At 41.5% G+C, this 20,553-nt stretch overlaps 1 long non-coding RNA gene and 1 pseudogene across 1 annotated transcript; one reads left to right on the top strand and one right to left on the bottom strand.

Moving 5' to 3' along the window:
• Window positions 1-11,055: 11,055 nt before the first annotated feature.
• Window positions 11,056-13,076, bottom strand: LOC105377928 (uncharacterized). Its single transcript, XR_942842.3, has 3 exons — window positions 13,034-13,076; window positions 11,803-12,357; window positions 11,056-11,134 (listed from the first exon to the last, which is right to left on the bottom strand). It is a non-coding gene; the product is annotated as an uncharacterized LOC105377928 (long non-coding RNA).
• An 828-nt stretch (window positions 13,077-13,904) lies between these two features.
• Window positions 13,905-13,985, top strand: LOC124901552 (uncharacterized; annotated as a pseudogene).
• The last annotated feature ends 6,568 nt before the right edge of the window (window positions 13,986-20,553 follow it).

Genomic DNA, 20,553 nt, shown 5'->3' with positions numbered 1-20,553 from the left:
AAAAGCAAAAGGTGTTTCTGGGAGATACTTGGCAGGCTATATTTGTGCTTAACACAGTATCTGGTGCAAAGAAAGTATTTGTTATTGCTGGGCATGGTGGCTTACACCTGTAATCCCAGCACTTTGGGAGGCCAAGGCAGGTGGATCACCTGAGGTCAGGAGTTCAAGATCAGCCTGGCCAACACAGTGAAACCCTGTCTCTACTAAAAATATAAAAAAATTAGCTAGGCGTGGTGGCTCGTGCCTGTAATCCCAGATACTTGGGAGGCTGAGGCAGGAGAATTGCTTGAGCCCGGGAGGTTGAGGTTGCAGTGAGCAGAGATCATACCATTGCACTTCAGCCTGGAGGACAGAGTGAGACTCTGTCACAAAAAACAAAGAAAGTATTCATTATTGTTATTTTACCTTTAGGAATATTACATTCCAGTGGGGAAGGTAAGCAAATAAACACAAGATGGATAAGATTATTGCAGATTAGTAAATTTTCATTTATTTATTTATTATTTTTTAAAATTTTACTTTAAGTTCTGGAATACATGTGCTGAACTTGCAGGTTTGTTACATAGATATACATGTGCCATTGTGGTCTGCTGCACCTATCAACCCGTCAACTAGATTTTAAGCCCTGCATGCATTAGGTATTTGTCCTAATTCTCTCCCTCCCCTTTCCTCCCACCCGCCGACAGGCCCCAGTGTGTGATGTTCCCCTCTCTGTGTCCATGCGTTCTCATTGTTCAATCCCACTTATGATGAGAACATGTGGTGTTTAGTTTTCTGTTCCTGTGTTGGTTTGCTGAGAATGATGGCTTCTAGCTTCATCCACGTCACTGCAAAGGACATGAACTCATTCTTTTTTATGGCTGCACAGACTGGTAAGTTTTCTGAAGAGATTGAATATCATGACAGAGAATAATGGGTAAGGGAACTTCTTCAGGTATGGTGGTCAGGATGACTGCCTTAGAGGGGTGACATCTAAATATAATCCTGAGGGATGAGAAGCTGGCCATGAGGGGAGACAGGACAAAGCATTTCAGACACAGGTAAGAATAAATACAGAGGCAAAGATGAGAGAAAGTTGCTGAGGGGACAGTGATTGGAAAGTGGGGAGCAGGGAAAACTCTGTGAGATGAGGCAAGAGAGATAGGCAGGGCCAGGTCATATGGAATATTGGAGACCACCATACAGAGTTTGGATTCCATTCTAGGTGCAATAAGAAACCATTTATAAATTTTATGTGGAAGCCTGATACGGTTTGGCTCTGTGTCCCCACCCAAACCTCATGTTGAATTGTAATCCTGTGTTGGGGGAGAGACTTGATGGGAGGTGATTGGATCAGGGAGGTGATTTCTAATGGTTTAGCATCATCTCCCTAGTATTGTCTCATGATTGAGCTCTCACGAGATCTGGTTGTTTAAAAGTGTATAGCACCCCACTCCACTTCACTCTGTCTTCCTCCTGCTCCGGCCATGTAGGACTTGCCAGCTTCCTCTTCACCTTCTGCCATGATTGTAAGTTTCCTGAGGCTTCCCTAGCCATGATTCCTGTACAGCCTGTGGAACTGTGAGCCAATCAAACCTCTTTCCTTATGAATTACCCAGTGTCAGGTAGTTCTTTATAGCAATGTGAGAACAGACAAAGCCTGAGCAACGTAGTGAGACCATGTCTCTATTTAAAAAAAAAAATAGCTGGTTTTGGTGGTATGCGCCAGTGGTCCCAGCTACTTGGGAGGCTGAGGTAGGAGGATTGTTTGAGCCCAGAAAGTTGGAGCTGCAGTGAGCTGTGATTTCTCCACTGCATTCTTGCCTGGGCAGCAGAGCAAGACCCTGTCTCAAAAACAAAACAAAACAAAACCAAACAACTAAAAATAATTTTAAGTGAAGAAATGACATGATCTGACTTATGTTTTTAGATCCCTTTTGTTGAGGAGATTGGACTAGCAGAGATTTCAAGTGAAAGCCAGGTGACCAGTTAATAGTATACTCCATTAACTCAGGAAAGAGATGAGGTGATATTGAAGATGGAGAGGAAAAGCCTGGAATGAAGATTATTTTGGAGGAAGAATTATTGGACCTGATATTGGGTGAAAGAAATGGATAAGTCAGGGACGATGCTCAGGTTTCTGGTTTTCATTACTGGGTAGATGATGGTGCCATCTATATAGAGAGGGAAGGATAGATATAAGGAAGTGTGCACAGGTATTTCTAAAGCCTGGACATGTACACACACACACGTAAATGGAGAATTATGTTTCTCATGTCTTTTGGGTGGTATCATTATTTATAGATGGGAGTGGGGCTGCAACATGTTGAGGTGGTTTTGAGGTTCTAACCCACATGGTACTAGAAAGGGCTGAATTCTGATTATTTGCTTCCACCCATTATAGTACATGATGAATTTTGCTCTGGTCTCTCTTTATAGTCCTTGTTGTGATACATGGCTTTTTGTTTATTTAGCCATCGTGGTTGGAAGCATGAGACTTGTGAGATATTCTGGCTCTATAAGCTGAATATCAGAGAGGTCTGATATTATTCCCCATTATGATATCTCCCATCATGACCTCATAGCTACAGTGTGTCTCTTATTGCATGTTTTAAAAAAATTATTTATTTATTTATTTATTTATTTATTTATTTATTTATTTATTTTTGAGATGGAGTATCGCACTGTTGCTGGGGCTGGAGTGCAGTGGTGTGATCTTGGCTCACTCCAACCTCCACCTACTGGGTCCAAGCAATTCTCCTGCCTCAGCCTCTCGGGTAGCTGGGAGGTGCCCGCCACCATGCCTGGCTAATTATTTGTATTTTTAGTAGAGACGGGGGTTTCACTATGTTGGTCAGGCTGGTCTCGAACTCCTGACCTTGTGATCTGCCCACCTTGGCCTCCCAAAGTGCTGGGATTACAGGTGTGAGTCACCTCACCCAGCCCTTATTGCATGTTAAACAGAGTAGTGGCAGATAAGAATAAATGACCTTTCCAAAGAGATTAAGTGTATGATACTTTGGGATGAATGGTCCACTGGGGGTTGTAGACCACTACTGAAGGGTAACAGAATATGACACCTTAGCCTAAGGATTATTTTTAGCTGAAGGCAATTAAGAGGAAACAAATATATGGAAAACTCTTTGCTCCCCCAGTTCACCTAAAAGCAGAACATAAATTCATAAAGATAGTCTCCCTTTCTTCTCTCCTAGGAAGGACAAAGGTTAATCACTAGAGGCAACTGTAGACCCTTATCAGCCCAGAGAAGTTGGTAAGGGATCAGAAGAAGCTATATAACTCAACTTACTAACTATCCCTTATCATCCATTAGTTTCCCCCACATATTAGTGTCCCACAATTTGTCATTCTAGAAGCTCAAAATCCCTTTCTTTGCCTTGCCAGTTCTGTACATACGTATTGTTTTTTTTTCTTTTCTTTTCTTTTTTTTTTTTTTTCTTGAGATGGAGTCTTGCTCTGTCGCCCAGGCTGGAGTGCAGTGGTGTGATCTTGGCTCACCGCAACCTCCACCTGCTGGGTTCAAGTGATTCTGCTGCCTCAGCCTCCCGAGTAGCTGGGATTACAGGTGTGCACCACCATGCCTGGCTAATTTTTGTTTGTATTTTTAGTAGAGACGGGGTTTTACCGTGTTAGCCAGGATGGCCTTGATCTCCTGACCTCGTGATCCACCCGCCTCAGCCTCCCAAAGTGCTGAGATTATAGGCGTGAGCCACCGCGCCCAGACCTGTTGTTTTGTTAAAATGCTGTATGTGTCCAAGTTCTAAACACTAAGTACTCATCTCTGAGTCCTCTCATGTATATATATGATGTGTTAATAAACTTTGTTTTTCTCTTGTTAGTCTGTCTTTTGTCAGTTTAATCTACAGGGTCCCAGCTGGAGAACTTAGGAGGGCTCTTTTTCCTCTTCTACACAGAAAGTTTACACAAAAGAGCACTAGCAACAGGGTAGTTATGATGTAGAGAGAACCGAGGAGTGGCTCACTTACTAGGTGTGCTAGCTTAGCCAGGTTAGTAGCTTCACTGACTGGCTTCTCCATCTGTGAAATATTTTTGGGGCGGCATGGAGGAGCAGAACAAGAATTAAATAAGAGTATAATAATAGAATATTCTAGGTTGTGTTACAGAGCTAAATAACTCTGAAATTCAGTGGCTTCAATGGCTTGGTACAACCAAAGTTGATTGATGCGTGGGCCAATGGGGATTCTCTTTCTGGAGACCCTGGGATCCAGGTTCCATCTTCTTGTGATGTAACCTCAATATGTGACCTCCAAGATTGTTGAGGAAAGCAAAGAGAGGATGAGGACTGCATGATATCTTTTTAATGTTCAGACCTGGGAGTGACTTATGTCATTTCCACCCATCCCCCACTAGCCAGTACTGAGTCACATGGCCTCAGTAAAACTGCAAGATGAGCTGGAAAATGTAGTTTCCCAAGTGCCCAGTAAGAGAAAAATAAAATGATTTTTGGTGAAATAATGATACTTCATCAAATGTATGTAAATGTATTTTATAAAATATTATCTCCAACTTTCTCTGATAATGATACTTCGAAATGACCAAAATGGGAAAAGAAGTTAGTAGGCAAAGAGTATAAATGAACCACAAGATGGATAGCCTCCCTCTGAACAATGGAAAAATAATTTTTCTTTCTAGAAGGCACAGAAAAGAGGCCTGTAGGGTGGAAGGTGGAGGATTGAGGGACTAAGAATTGGAATGAGATAAAATATTGTAGGGAAAGAAAAATGTTTCTTTTACCCTCTTGAGCCTGTGAATTAAAATGGCGAAAGACAGATTAACAGGAGACAAAGCATATAGATCTTATTTGATGTTAGTATTTTTACATGGCATGGGGGGCCTCATAGAAAAAAAGTGAAAACCCCCCAGAATTGGTTAGATTCAGGGGTTTATATACTATTTTAGCAAAGGGTGATACGTTTATATACTATTTTAGCAAAGGGTGATAAGTTGTGTGGAAGTCACTAGAAAAGAAAGAGGTTTGAGCTTCTGGGGCACTAAATTGTGGGAATGTGACTAGGAAATGTCTGGGGGAAACTAATGGAAGATAAGCTGTGTTTGTGCAGACTCACCTTGGCACCAACTTTTTATCTCTGGTGATAAGAATGTTCTCTTCCTAGTACTGGGAAGTTACTTTTCATGGGAAATGCATGTTCTGGTTTTAGGCAGAAAGAGGAAGGGCAAAGAGTACTTGTTTCTCAATTGCCTTCAGCTCAAAATAATCAAAAATAAAATAATAAAATAAAAATAAAATAAAATAAAAATAAAATTGTAATAAAAAATAAAATGCTAATAAAAAAAGACAAAGTGGTGTATTTTGGGATGGCACGTTCTGATCCCCTTCAATGTCTTAGTCGGTAAGGTTCACAATTGTGATGAAAGGCTGGAGAAGAAAGTTTTATGTCTGAACTAAAAGCAAATGCCATTTTTAAGAGCCAACAACTCTGTAGCCAACAGAAATGTAAAGTTTACAACATTCATCTGAAGGCAGGAAGTTCCAAACGAAGATCTTTTTTTTGCAAGTAAAAAGAAAGAACTATTGCTGGGAAGCATTTCCAAGTGAAATATTAAGGATGGAAAGTGGCAATAAATGGAGATTTGCAGGGTGACTTCTGCAAGTTAGAAAAATGAAGCAGTGTAAACAGTGTATTATCTTCTGTGATTTGAAGACATGGGTTTAAGCATTCTGGGCCCAGGGCTCTTCAGTAGGATGTGTCACCTTTCAAGATACAGCCATCTTGGCAATATGCCTTTAGGAAGGAGAAATCAGGGTCTATATATATAATATTATAATATATATAAATAAATGTTTATTTTAGCAAAATCAAAGTTTTACATGACACAGGAAACTTTAGAAATGAAAACCCAAAGCCCCAGGGAGAACTGTCTGTTTTTATGCTTAGGTTTCATGAAGAATAGACATCTTCATAGAAATGTGATTGGACAAAGGAGTGTGATCTAACTGTTATAAACTGAGGGCAGGGCAGCAAGGTCTGTCTGTTCAGGTTCTTCCTGACCTCTCTGTGTAGCTTTCCTTCCCCCTGGATATGGGGCAGGACCCCTCTGGAGTGAGGGCGTTAAGGGAGAAGGGAGAGAGTGACCTTTTCTAGGTTTTATGACTTGCTTTCGGGGAGAAAGGTTCTAGTTTCCATGACCCCTCCTTGGGGAAGAGAAATCATCTGGTTTCTATGACTTGCTTTGGGAGGATAAAGACAGGCAGAGGACAGGAGGACAGGAGAAGGTCAGAGAAACCTTGCTTCTGAGGCCTTCCAATCTTCTTTGGTTCCTAGTACTCAGCCCTCCAAAGCACCATACTTTTGTAACTGCCCAGTGGATTCACCTTGCCCACTGCCTAGACAGAACTGATTTATTAAGACACAGGAATTGCGATAGAGAGAGTAATTCACACAGAGCTGACTGTGCAGGAGACTGGAGTTTTGTTATTGTTCAAATCAGGCTCCCTGAGCATGCGGGGATCAGAGTTTTTAAGGATAATTTAGTGGGTGGGCGGCCAGTGAGTCAGGAGTGCTGATTGGTTGGGTCAGAGATGAGATCATAGGGAGTGGAAGCTGTCCTCTTGTGCTGAGTCAGTTCCTGGGTTGGGGCCACAAGACCAGATGAGCCAGTTTATCGATCTGGGTGGTGCCAGCTGATCCATCATGTGCAGGGCCTGCAAAATATTTCAAGCACTAATTTTTGGCTTTACGATAGTGATGTTATTCCCAGGAGCAATTTGGGGAGGGTCAGAATCTAGTAGCCTCCTGCTGCATGACTCCTAAACCATAATTTCTAATCTTTTGGCTAATTTGTTAGTTCTATCAAGGCAAGCCAGTCCCCAGGCAAAAAGGGGGTTTGTTTTGGGAAAGGGTTGTTATCATCTTTGTTTTAAAGTATAAACTAATCCCAGCATTTTGGGAGGCCAAGGCAGGGGCATCACTTGAGGTCAGGACATTGAGACCAGCCTGGCAAACATAGTGAAACCCCATCTCTACCAAAAATACAAAAGTTAGCCGGGCATGGTGGTGGGTGCCTGTAATCCCAGCTACTTGGGAGGCTGAGGCAGGAGAATTGCTTGAACCCTGGAGGCAGATGTTGCAGTGAGCCAAGATCGCACCACTGTACTCCAGCCTGGGTGACAGAGTGAGACTCTGTCTCAAAAAAAAAAAAAAAAAAAATTAAAAAAAAATATAAACTAATTTTCCCCAAAGTTAGTTTGGCCTATGGCCAGGAATGAATAAGGACGGTTTGGAGCACGCAAGATGGAGTTGGTTCGGTCAGATCTCTTTCACTGTCTCAGTTACAGTTTTGCAATGGCAGTTTTACTTTGGGGTATTGTTTTCTGAGCTCCAACAATGCAAGCATACTGTATAGTTTACTTTTTATAACGTTTACTGTTTGCCTTCTCCCGTTGGAATTCAAGCTCCATAAGGGCAGTGATTCTTTTGTTTTTTTTCCACTGATCTGTCCCAAGCTCTTAGTAGACTTACAAAGCATTCATTGAATGGAATCAAGCACACAAATTACTAACTAGCTCCTAATGGGTTAAGTGGCACAGAGGTTTGTTTTCCCCTAAAACAACTGCTGTGAACAGAGTTCTTGTGGAGCCAGGAAACCAAGATGAGGGGGAAATTAGTAGGAACATTTAACCGGTCTTTTTGCATTGCTGATTTTGTATTTCAAGTTATGATCAATGGTGTTAACATTAGTTAAACCATAATTTTTAGCTTCTAAAGTAATTTCTTTGAGGTGTTTTTCTTCCCTTTTAAAACAACTGAGCTCTGTAAAAAGCATAAGCTTCAGTTTCAACTTAACAGAAAAACCTTTAGGTAGAGATAAAATAGAAACCAGCACCTCCATTTGATCTTTCCCTGCCTGGTCTGTTTGAAGAGCGGCTGTGTTTGGACAATGGTGCGTAATGAGATCATTTCTGTTACTGCTTGTGAAGGACTTAGCTTTGCTGTGTTTTCCTTTGGGGTTTAAGAACCTGGACATTTTAGAATGCTTTTTAAAAATTAAATACAGAGTTTCAGTTGCTTTGATGGGGTTTAAAAGGGACAGCAAAAAAGGCCATTGAAGTAATTTTAGAGCTATACTTGAACAGCTACTGAATACTTGTGAAAACATAAATCCATATTAAAAGAGTCAACATTTTATACATAAACCATATTTTGACGGTTTTGTTGTGGTGGGGGTGGCGGTTGTTTTGAAACGTTACCTGTCCTCTAGAAGCACTAAACATTTTCTTTGAATGAATGCCCAAATGATCACCTTTGCCAGCTAGTCCAGGCATTTAGGGTGAAATGTGCATATGTTTAGCAACTCTTCACTTCCTCAGCATGAAAAAGAACACTTTTATCTTCTAAGTGTGGTTTACATTTTTGCATCCTTCAGGTGCATTCCAGAAGATTTGGGAGATATTGACTGAGAGATATGTGTTAGGCACAAGGGTCTAGTGCCTAAGGCTCTGAGTCCTTCTACCGCCCTGTTTTTCTGTTTTGGGCATAGCACACGGAGATGCAGCATTTAGACATTTAAGTGCCACTCTGTATTGGGCATTATATCAAAATTAATTGCATCACCAGGTCCTAGTCATCAATTTTAGTATATTCAAGCTCTGTGACTGTAGTGGGACATTTATTTATAATTTTGTTTCAAGTTGTAATTCTTTATCCAATAACACTGGTCGATTAGCCCCCTGCTGCTACTTGATTAGAATGTCAGCTGTAATAAATAGATCCTCCACTACGTAATTACTTTGCCCCAACAATCAGAATTTTAATGAGCAAATTGGTGAAAATGAGAATGAGATTTGTCATCGTAGGCTGAGCCTGATTATGTCGCCCACAGCTTTGGGTAGAATCACTCCCTTTTTCAACAATGTTAATGGGACTCTCATAAAAATATTCTATAACCTTGTGAACAGCAACCTTAAGGGGTTTTCCTTGAGGTGAGAGATCTGAAATTGGCCATTTGTGATGGTAGAAGTTACCTTGCATTCTAAATCTAATCAGATAAATTGTGCTGATTGCCTGAAACAGATGCCTTAGGCAGAAGTCTCAGAGCAGTACTTGAACCAACCTGCCTGTCATGCTAGAGGATTATTTCTGAAACGACTCTATCCCGTGTTTCTTTGAGTAACTCACTGCTGTGCAAATAGGAGCTGTGTTTTACGTTTGTGTTCTCAGCAATAAGAAAGAGCCCTACTTTGCTGGGTGGCTGACAGGCCTGGCGTGCTAGGTGGCTCATGACTCCCATGACAGAAAATTGTCAGTACATACTGGGAGAATTGTAAACAGGTTAACAGAAGGAAGGAGAAAACAAAGCAAAGTCAGATTAGCTTGAAAGGCAATTTAAAGGTTAAATTTTCACAGAAAAAAAAATTACAATCTTAAGCCCGGTAGAAAATTAGTATTTCCCGCCTGTAATCCCAGCACTTTGGGAGGCTGAGGCGGGCATATCACCTGAGGTCAGGAGTTCGAGACCAGCCGGACCAACATGGTGAAACTGTGTCTCTACTAAAAACACAAATTAGCCGGGCATGGTGGTGGGTGCCTGTAATCCCAGCTATTCAGTAGGCTGAGGCAGGAGAATCACTTGAACCTGGAAGGCAGCGGTTGCAGTGAGCTGAGATTGTGCCACTGTATTCTAGCCTGGGCGACAGAGTGAGACTCTGTTTCAAAAAAAAAAAAAAAAGAAAAAAGAAAATTAGTATTTTCCAATCCTGAAAGTTTCTAAAAATTTATCTTTCAGCAATTTCACATTTTATTGGTTAAATGGCAAAGAAGCCAGAACATGTGACAATTCAGTAGTATTTATTGTTCATAGAAACAAATGTTCTGTTTTAACAGATTTATCAGCTACCTGGAAGAAGTATCTAGTAACAGGGAAAGAAAACTCCGCAGGAGTTTCAGAAACCCTTCCTCCTTTAGCAACCATCATACTAAACATCATGCCACCAAAGTACATTTATTTAGCTTATGACAGAAATCGTGGGGGCAGATGATGAAAACAGTTAAGAATTGTTGACATCTGTCAATAAGGGGTCTTCTTCAGGACTCTATAATAACCTGACTGCACTGGGTCGTTCTACGGTTTTGGGTAATAATGGAATGGACCCCAGGATGTAGCTGGGACCTTCCATCTGGGATCCTTGAAGTCAGCTACAGGCCCATGTCGAGGTCGCCAGCAGCTGAGGCAGAGACAGAGAGAAAGAGAGAGAAAAAGAGACAGAGAGAAAGAGAGAGAGAGAAAGAGAGAGAGAAAGAGAAAGAGACAGAGAGAGAAAGAGAAAGAAGAGAGAGAAAGAGAAAAAAGGAGACAGAGAAAGAGAGAGAGATTTTGGAAGGGATATATTATTTTATATACAAATACAAAAGTGTTGATGTAGTCGTCGTAGGAAATATCAGATTTTTTGAACTCTTCTACATTTATTTATGGTTTTATTCTATTTTTATTTTGAATGACGTGGGTAGGGGATAGGAGGCAGCAATTTGCCCTCTAGATGAATCCTCATGGCTTTGCCCCACAAACTGATTATTGCTGATTTTATAGGGGCCACTCATTACAATGTAAGAGGGGCTATTTCCTTCTATTTTACTGTGCCTAATAGAGAGCGGTTCAAAAAGGCATGAGACTAAGCCAGCAACAAAATGCAATTCCTGAGACCTATATTTGGCAATAGTGAAAAGTCAACAAATGGGTAAAACCTACCCAATGGGTCTGTCCTGTTTCCACAGGGTAACCAGGGCAAACGTGAGACTGTACAGTTTACAACAAGATTGCAGGCTTCTCTTTTGGAATCACCACATCTTGGGTCTCCATTACCTTGAGTACTTTCTTGGTCTTTTTGAGCCTTCCCTGCTTATGTGCACACGTGATTGTTGTTAATGCTGCAACGCTGCCTCTTCTGGTAGTCTGGGATGTGTCAGATAACACCACCGATTTCTTTAATACAGTCCAGAGATGAGCCAATTTGGAAAATAATGAGCTAAATTGTAAGATGTAGTCATATCCCTTCTTAATTCTCTTAGATTTGATTTATTAATCCTTTTTGCATGCAGTATTTATGGGCTGATGAGGACCAGCTGGGCCAGCAGCTTCTCAGCCACAGGTTTCTCAGGCCCTGTGAATGAAGAAAATGGGCAACTGAGCAGTACTACACCCACCCTTGTGCTTGGAGCTCTCTCTGAGAGTTTAAAATCTGCTTACAGTTTCCATATTCTTACATGATGTTTGTTGGGACTCAGAAAATGATATCTTAAAGGCCTCAGAAGTAAAAGTTTTTCTCTGACCTTTTCCTGACCTCCTGTTTCTGGCTCCTCACTTTCCCCTAAGGCCAGCCATGGAAAGTAGAATTCCTCTTCCCCAAGGGGGGTCATAGAAACCAGAACTCCTTTTCCCCCAAAACCAGCCATAAGACCAAAAAATATTACTCTAATTCCGCCTCCCACCTTTTTGTATAAAAACTGGCCATAAAGAAATTATTTCGGCCAGATGCAGTGGCTCACGCCTATAATCCCAGCACTTCGGGAGGCCAAGGCGGGAGAATGGCTTGAAGTCAGGAGTTCAAGTCCAGCCTGGGTAACATAGTGACATTCTGTTCTTAAAAAAAACCAAATAAAAATTAGCAGGAGACTGAGGCAGGATGATTGTCTGAGCCCAGGCATTCGAGGTTGCCGTGAGCTACGTGCTTGTGCCATTGCACTCCAGCCTGGGCAACACAGCAAGATCCTGTCTCAAAAAAAAAAAAAAAAAAAAAAAAAAGAAAGAGAAAGAAATGATCTGACTTACCTTGTTTGACTGTAGGTTATAAAAACTCTATTCCAGAGAGGGTCCTGCCCATACCCAGAAGGCAGAAATCCTGGACAGAGGCCAAGAAGAACCTGAAAAGAGGTTTTGCTGGGTTTCCCCACTGAGTCTATTACCATTAGCTCATATCCTTTTTGCCCAATCATATTTCTACACATCTGTCCATGCTTTGTGGAACCTAAGCATAAAAGCAAACAGTTTCCCCTGTGTCTCTGGGTTTTCATTCTGAAGGCTCCCATGTCACATAAAACCATGATAAATAAATTCTATGCCTTTTCTCTGATTAATCTGATTTTTGTCAGTGATTTTCAGGGAAGTCTTCCCCTTTGCCCCTGTGTGTTTCATTCTAGGCTTTGCAGAGGTTGGAGCACTTCTATTTCCTGGGCCCAGTGCCATAGCTGTTAGTAATCGATTCTCTTTAGAACTGGAATTGTCAGGTTGTTTCAGGACTCTGGTTTGCTTGATTTCCTTCCTAGGACACTTGAGAGTTTTGATACAGAGGCTTCCTTTTCTCCAGTTTTCAGAAATAGAGAAGACCTTTCCAAGGAAACAGGGAGGAAAAAGGATAGAGAAGGCATTTAATTTAGAAGGATAAAATAGATCTTTCATCCATCAAAACACAAAATTACAACAAATGTAGTTTAATGATCTCAGTTGGCTTTATTGCTGTAAACCAAAAATAAAATTCTAAGCCCCCCAACCATTTGACTGGACCCCTCCTCTCAGCCAAAGTTAACCTGTAAAATTTATTCCAAAGTTAGCCTGTAAAACTTATTCCAAAATTAACCTGTAAAACTTATTCCAAAGTTAACCTGTAAAACTAGTTTAGGCCATGATGGGAAGGGGGAGTTGGATATGCCTCATTACCATTAACATCAACACAGACCTTGAGACTGATAGAACAGGCTCTTTAAGTCTGATAAAAAATATTTACAATCTATTCTTTCTGAAGCCTGCTACCTGGAAGCTTCAACTGCATAAAACCTTGGTTTCCACAACCCCTTATCATAACCCAGATATTCCTTTTTAAATAAAATTCCAGATTTTTTTTTTTTGAGACTGAGTTTCATTCTTGTCACCCGGCTGGAGTGCAATGATGTGAACTTGGCTCACTGCAACCTCCACCTCCTGGGTTCAAGAGATTCTCCTGCCTCAGACTCTGGAGTAGCTGGGATTACAGACACCCACCAACACACACGGTTAATTTTTGTACCTTCAGAAGAGATGGGGTTTCACCATGTTGGCTAGGCTGGTCTCGAACTCCTGACCTCAGGTGATCCGTCCACCTTGGCATCCCAAAGTGCTGGGATTACAGGTGTGAGCTACTGCACCCTGCTTAAATTCCAGATCTGTAAGTAGTAACTGAATGAACTGCCAATCAGAAAGTCTTTGAATCTGCGTATGACCTGGGACTCCCCACTTCCAGTTGTCACACCTTTCTGGACTGAACCAATGTACATCTTATGTGTATTGATTGATGTCTTATGTCTCCTTGCAAATGTATAAAATCAAGCTGCAGACTGACCACCGTAGCCACATGTCATCAGGACCTCGTGAGGTGTGTCATAGGCACGTCCTTAACCTTGGCAAAATAAACTACTAAATTAATTGAGACTTGTCTCAGATACTTTTTGATTTATGTCGTGATTCTAGAATCGAGGAATACTTCATCCTACAAAACAGAGTAAGTGTTCCAATGAGCTGAACAGTGGGGGTTGGCTTTATAGACAGAAAAGGCTGAAGAAAGCAGATTGGTCATTTCAAAGTTACTTTCCTTGTAAGGCAGAGACAAGAAAACAAAACAACAATAGAAGGATAACGGTTTAGTTAGCATCAGGTTACTTTTGTCTACCCTTTGTGTGTAAAGATTAAAGCAGAGGGAACTTATGATCATTATCATGCCAATTAAAGATTGAAACTGGCCTGTTTTGAAAAATGACTGTTATCCCTCTCTCCTGATTTCTTGAAGGTCAGATAACAACTTAGTTTAGCAACTTGGAAACACTGCATGAGTGACTCCATTTTGATTTTTACTCTGGTCTGTTGGGACCTAGCACAGGAGCTTAGCCCAAAACAGTAGCCTTCTCCTTTCGTAGTTCATAAGTGTGATGACTGGATGTTCGTGCTTGTGTGTGCGATGTGCCTCACTCTAAACCTTTCTGACAGGAAAAAGGAAAAAGAAAAGAAAAGAAAAAACTGATAAAGAAGAAAGGAAAATAAAACAATAGCCTCCTATAATTTTATTTAACAAATAGAAAGACAGGCCATGGAATGGGATAAAATATTTGCATAACACAGATCTGATAAAGGACTGGTATCCAAAATGGGCAAAAGACCTAAAAAGATGCCTCGCCAAGGAAAATATAGGCATACCTTATTTTATTGCACTTCACTTTATTGTGCTTCACAGATACTGCATTTTTTCTTTTTTTCCAAATTTAAGGTTTGTGGCAACCCTGCATTGAGCAAGTCTATTGGGCCTCGATTTTCCAACAGCATGTGCTCACTTCATGTCTTTGTGTCTCATTTTGATAGTCTTTGCAATATTTCAAACTTTATTATTATATCTATTATGGTGATCTGCAGTGAGTGATCCTTGATGTTACTATTGTCATTGTTTGGGGTCCACAAACCACACTCATGTAAGATTCTAAACTTAATTGATAAATGTTGTGTGTGTGCTGACTCCTCCACCAACTGGCCCTTTCCGTCTCTCTTCCTCTCCTCATGCCTCCCTCTTCCCTGAGACACAACAACATTGAAATCAGACCAGTTAATAACCCTACAATAGCCTCTAAGTATTCAAGTTAAAGGAAAAATCACACATCTCTGGCTTTAAATCAAAAGCTAGAAATGATTATGCTTAGTGAGAAAGGCATGTCAAAAGCTGAGATAGGCCGAAAGCTAGACTTCTTACACCAAATGGTTAGCTAAGTTGTTAATGCAAAGGAAAAGTTCTTGAAAGAAATGAAAAGCACTACTCCAGTAAACTCACAAATAATAAGAGAGCTAAATAGCCTTCTTGCTGATATGGAGAAAGTTTGGTGGTCTGGATAGAAGATAAAACCAGCCACAGCATTCCCTCAAGGCAAAGCCTAATCTAGAGAAAGGCCCTAACTCTTTTCAAGTCTACGAAGGCTGAGCGAGATGAAGAAGCTGCAGAAGAAAAGTGGGAAGCTAAGAGATTAAAGGAGAGAAGCCAACTTTAAAACCTAAAAGTGCAAGGTGAAGCAGCAAGTGCTGATGGAGAAGCTACACTAAGTTATACAGAAAACCTAGCTAAGATAATTGATGAAGGTGGCTACATTAAACAGATGTTCAATGTAGACGAACAGTCTTCTGTTAGAAGAGGATGCCATCTATGACTCTCATAGCTAGAGAGAAATCAATGCCTGGCTTCAAAGCTTTAAAGGACAGGCTGACTCTCTTATTAGGGGCTAATCACTTTAATGTGGCTGGTCACTCTAAGTTGAAGCCAATGCTCATTGACCATTCTGAAAACCCTAGGGCCCTTAAGCATTATGCTAAATCTTTAGCTGGGCATGGTGGCACATGCCTGTAGTCCCAGCTACATGGGAGACTGAGGCAGGAGGATCATTTGAGCCTGGGAGATCAAGGTTGCAGTGAGCTATGATCATGCCACTGCACTCCAGACAGGGAGACAGAGTGAGACCCTGTCTCAATTAAAAAATAAAATAAAATAAAAAGAATCTTGCAAAATCGACTCTGCTTATATTCTATATATGAAACAACAAAGCCTGGATGATCACGCATCTGTTGACAGCATGGTTTGCTGAATGTTTAGGCCCAGTACCAAGATCTACTACTCAGAAAAAAAAATTCTTTTAAAATATTTCTGCTCATTGACAATGTACCTAGTCACCCAAGACCTATACAAGGAGATTAATGTTGTTTTACGCCTGCTAACACAACATCCATTCCACAACCCATGGATCACTGAGTAATTTTGATTGTCAAGTTTATTTAAGAAATACATTTAGTAAGGCTATCACTGCTACAGACAGTGATTCCTCTGATGGATCTGGGCAAAGTAAACTGAAAACCTTCTGGAAAGGATTCTTCATTCTAGATGCCATTAAGAAAATTCATGATTCATGGGAGGAGGTAAAAATATCCACATTAATGGGAGTTTGGAAGAAGGTGATTCCAGTCCTAAAGGATGACTTTGTGGGGTTCAAGACATCAGTGGAGGAAGTCACTGCAGATGGTGGTGGAAATGGCAGAGAACTAGAATTAGAAGTAGAGACTGAAGATATGATTGAATTGCTGCAATCTCATGAACAAATTTGAAGGAATGAGGAATTGCTTCTTATGGATGAACAAAGAAAGTGTTTTTTTTTTTTGGATGGAATCTACTCCTGGTAAAGATGATGTGACCATTGTTGAAATGACAACAAAGAACTTAGAATATTACATGATCGTAGGTGATAAAGCAGTAGCACAGTTGGAGAGGATGAAAGAAGTTCTATTGTGGGTAAAATGCTAACAGACAGCATTGCATGCTACAGAGAAATCTTTTGTGAAAGGAAGTGTCAATTGATGCGGCAAACTTCAGTTTTCTCTCATTTTTTAAAATGTCAGAGCCATTCTACCTTCTAGCAACCACCACCCTGATCAGTCAGCAACTACCAACATCGAGGCAAAACCCTACACCAGCAACAAAATTATGACTCACTGAAGTCTCAGATGATTGTTACCATTTTTAGCAATGTTTTTAAATTAAGGTATGTACTTTAAAAAGATATGTAGTTCTATTGCACACTTAATAGACACTTATAGTGTAAACATAACTTTTATATGTGCTAGGAGACCAAAAAATTCATGTGACTTGCTTTATGGAGATATTCACTTTATTGTGGTGGTTGGTACTGAACCCACAATATCTCTGAGGTATGCCTGTATACCAATGGCAAATAAACAAATGAAAAGATGTTCCACATCATTTGTCATCAGGGAAATGCATATCCAAACAACAATGGGATACTGCTATACCCTACTAGAATGGGTAAAATACAAAACACTAACAATGCCAAATGCTGGCAAGAATGTGGAGCAACAGAAACTCTCATTCATTACTGGCAGGAATGCAGAATGGTACAACCACTTTCGAAGACAGTTTGGCAGTTTCTTAAAAAGTAAACATTCTCTTACCAAAGATCCAGCAATTGTACTCTTTGGTACTCCAAGATGAATTAAAAACATGTCCCCACCAAAACCAGCACATACTTTATTCACTATTGCCAAAACTTGGAAGCAATCAAAGTGTTTTCTAATAGGTTAATGGGTAAACAAACTGTGGTACATCCATACAACAGAATATTAGTACTAAAAGGCAATAAGCTACTAAACCATGAAAAGACATGGATGAACCTTAAATGCATATTGCTAGGTAAAAGAAGCCAATCTGAAAGGCTATATCTACATACTGTATCATTTTAATGATTAATATATAACATTGTGGAAAAGGCCAAATTATGGAGATAATAAAAAGAACAGTGGTTTCTAGGAGTTTGATGGAAGGGAAGAAGGGAAGGATGAATAGTTTGAACATGGGATTTTTAGGGCAGTGACATGATTTGGATCTGTGTCCCCACCCAAATCTCATGTTCAACTGTAATCCCCTATGCTAGAAGTGGGGCCTGCTTGGGGGTAATTAGATCATGGGGGCGGATTTCTCCCTCAGTGCTGCTCTCATCATAGTGAGTGCGTGCTCACGAGATCTGGTTGTTTAAAACCATCTGGTGTAGCACCTCCTGCCTCTCTCTGTATTGCTCCTTCTCTGGCCATGTGAAATGCTGCTCTCCCTTTACCTTCTACCATGATTGTAAGTTTCCTAAGTCCTCCTCAGAAGCAGAATCCACAATGCTTCCTGTACAGCCTGGAGAACTGCTAGCCAATTAAACTTCTTTCCTTTATAAATTACCAGTCTCAGGTATTTCTTTATAGCAATGTGAGAATGGACTAATACAGAAAATTGAAACCAAGGAGTGGAGCATTGCTGTAAAGATACCTGAAAATGTGGAAGTGACTTTGGAATTGGATAATGGATAGAGGTCAGAAGAGTGTGGAGGGCTCAGAAGAAGAGAGGAATATGAGGGAAAATTTGGAATTTCCTAGAGACTTGTTGAATAGTTGTGACCAAAGTGCCGATAGTGATATGGACAGTGAAGTCCAGACTGAGGAGGGCTCAGGTGGAAATGAGGAACTTATTGGGAACTGGAGCAAAGGTCACATGTGTTATATCTTAGCAAAGGACTTGGAGGCATTGTGCCCCTGTCCTAGGGATCTGTGGAACTTGGAACTTGAGAATGATGATTTAGGGTACCTGGTGGAAGAAATTTCTAAGCAGCAAAGTGTTCAAGAATCAGCCTGGCTGCTTCTTTTTTGTTTGTTTGTTTGTTTTGAGATGGAGTCTTGCTCTGTTGCCCAGGCTGGAGTGCAGTGGCGCAATCTCGGCTCACTGCAAGCTCTGCCTCCCGGATTCATGCCATTCTCCTGCCTCAGCCTCCTGAGTAGCTGGGACTACAGGCACCCGCTACCACGTCTGGCTAATTTTTTGTATATTTAGTAGAGATGGGGTTTCACCATGTTGGCCAGGATGGTCTCGATCTCTTGACCTTGTGATCCACCCACCTCAGCCTCCCAAAGTGCTGGGATTACAGGCATGAGCCACCATGCCCAGCCAGCCTGGCTGCTTCTAACAACCCATACTCACATGTATGAGCAAATAAATGACCTGAAGCTGAAACTTATATTTAAAAGGGAAGCAGAGTGTAAAAGTTTGGAAAATTTGCAGCCTGGCCATATGGTATAAAAGAAAAACCCACTTTCAGGGGAGGAATTCAAGCAGGCTACTTGAATTGTATCTTAGAAATAACTAGAATAAATAACTTAGAAATTTGCATAATTAAAAAAAGAAATTTGCATAACTAAAAAGAAGGCAAATGCTGATAGCCAAGACAATGAGGGAAATGCCTCAAAAGTATTTCAGAGATCTTTGCTGCAGCCTCTCCCGTCACAGGCCCAGAGGCCTAGGAGAAAAGAATGGTTTCATGGGCCAGCCAGGCCCAGGGCCCTGCTGCACCGTGCAGCCTCAGGAGATGCAGCCCTGCATCCTAACTGCTCTAGCTCCAGATGTGCCTCAAGGACATGAAGCCCTGCATCCCAACTGCTCTAGCTCCGGATGGGCTCTAGGCCCAGGTACAGCTTAGTCATATGGTGCAAGCCATAAGCCTTGATGACTTCCACCTGGTGTTAAGCCTGTGAGTGCACAGAATACAAGACTTGAGGTTTGGGAGCCTCTGCCTAGATTTCAGAGGATGTATGGAAAAGGCTGGATGTCCAGGCAGAAGCCTGCTACAGGGGCAGAGCCCTCAAAGAGAATCTGTACGAGGGCAGTGCAGAGGGGAAATGTGGGGTTGGAGCCCCTGCACAGAGTTCCCAGTGGGACACTGCCTAGTGGAGCTGTGAGAAAAGGGCCATCATTCTCCAGACCCCAGAATGGTAGATTGACCAGCAGTTTGCAGCCTGCACCTGGAAAAATCACAAACGCTCAACACCAGCTCATGAGAGCAGCTGTAGGGGCTGAACCCTGCAAAGACCCAGGGGTGGAGCTGCCCAAGGCCTTGGGAGCCCATCCCTTATACCAGTGTGCCTTAGATGTGAGACATGCGGTCAAAGGAGATTATTTTGGAGCTTTAAGATTTAATGACTGCCCTGCTGGATTTTGGACTTCCATGGGGCCTATAGCCCCTTTCTTTTGTCCGATTTCTCCCTTTTGGAACAGGAGTATTTACCCAATGCCTGTACCCACATTGTATCTTAGAAATAACTAATTTATTTTTGATTTTACAGGCTCATGGGCAGACAGGACTAACCTTGTCTCAGATGAGACTTTGGACAGTGGACTTTGGAGTTAATGCTGGAATGAGTTAAAACTTTGAGGGACTCTTAGAAAGGCATAATTGTATTTTGCAGTGTAAGAGGAAAAGGAGATTTGGGAGGGGTTGGGGTGGGATGATATGGTTTGGATCTCTGTCCCCACCCACATCTCATGCTCAATTGTAATCCCCAATATTGGAGGTGGGGCCTGGTGGGAGGTGATTGGATCATGGGGGCAGATTTCCTCCTTAGTGCTGCTCTCATCACAGCGAGTGAGTGCTCGCGAGATCTGGCTGTTTAAAAGTGTGTGGCACCCTCCACCCTGCCCTTACTTCTTCTCTGGCCATGTGAAGTGCTGCTCTCTGCTTACCTTCCACTGGGATTGTAAGTTTCCTGAGGACTCCCCAGAAGCAGAAACTGCTATGTTTCCTGTAAAGCCAGCAGAACTGTGGGCCAATTAAACCTCTTTCTTTTATAAATTACCCAATCTCAGGTATTTCTTTATAGCAGTGGGAGAACAGGCTAACACAGGTAGTGAAACTATTCTGTATGACACTTGGATTAGTCCATTCTTGCACTGCTATAAAGAAATACCTGAGACTGGGTAATTTACAAAGAGAAGTTTAATTGGCTCATAATTCCTGCTGTACAGGAAGCACAGCAACTTCTGGAGAGGCCTCAGATAACTTTCAATCTTGGCAGAAAGCAAAGGGGAAGCAGGCACATTGGCAGAACAGAAGGAAGAGAATGGGAGGAGGGCCTACACACTTTTAAACAACCAGATCTCATGATAACTCTATTATGAGAACAGCACTAGGGGGATGATGCTAA

The sequence above is a fragment of the Homo sapiens genome, chromosome 6 (genome assembly GCF_000001405.40).
Source record: "Homo sapiens chromosome 6, GRCh38.p14 Primary Assembly".
Classification (NCBI taxonomy): domain Eukaryota; kingdom Metazoa; phylum Chordata; class Mammalia; order Primates; family Hominidae; genus Homo; species Homo sapiens.
Note: the sequence above shows the minus strand (reverse complement) of the source record. Positions and strands in the feature narration are given on the sequence as shown.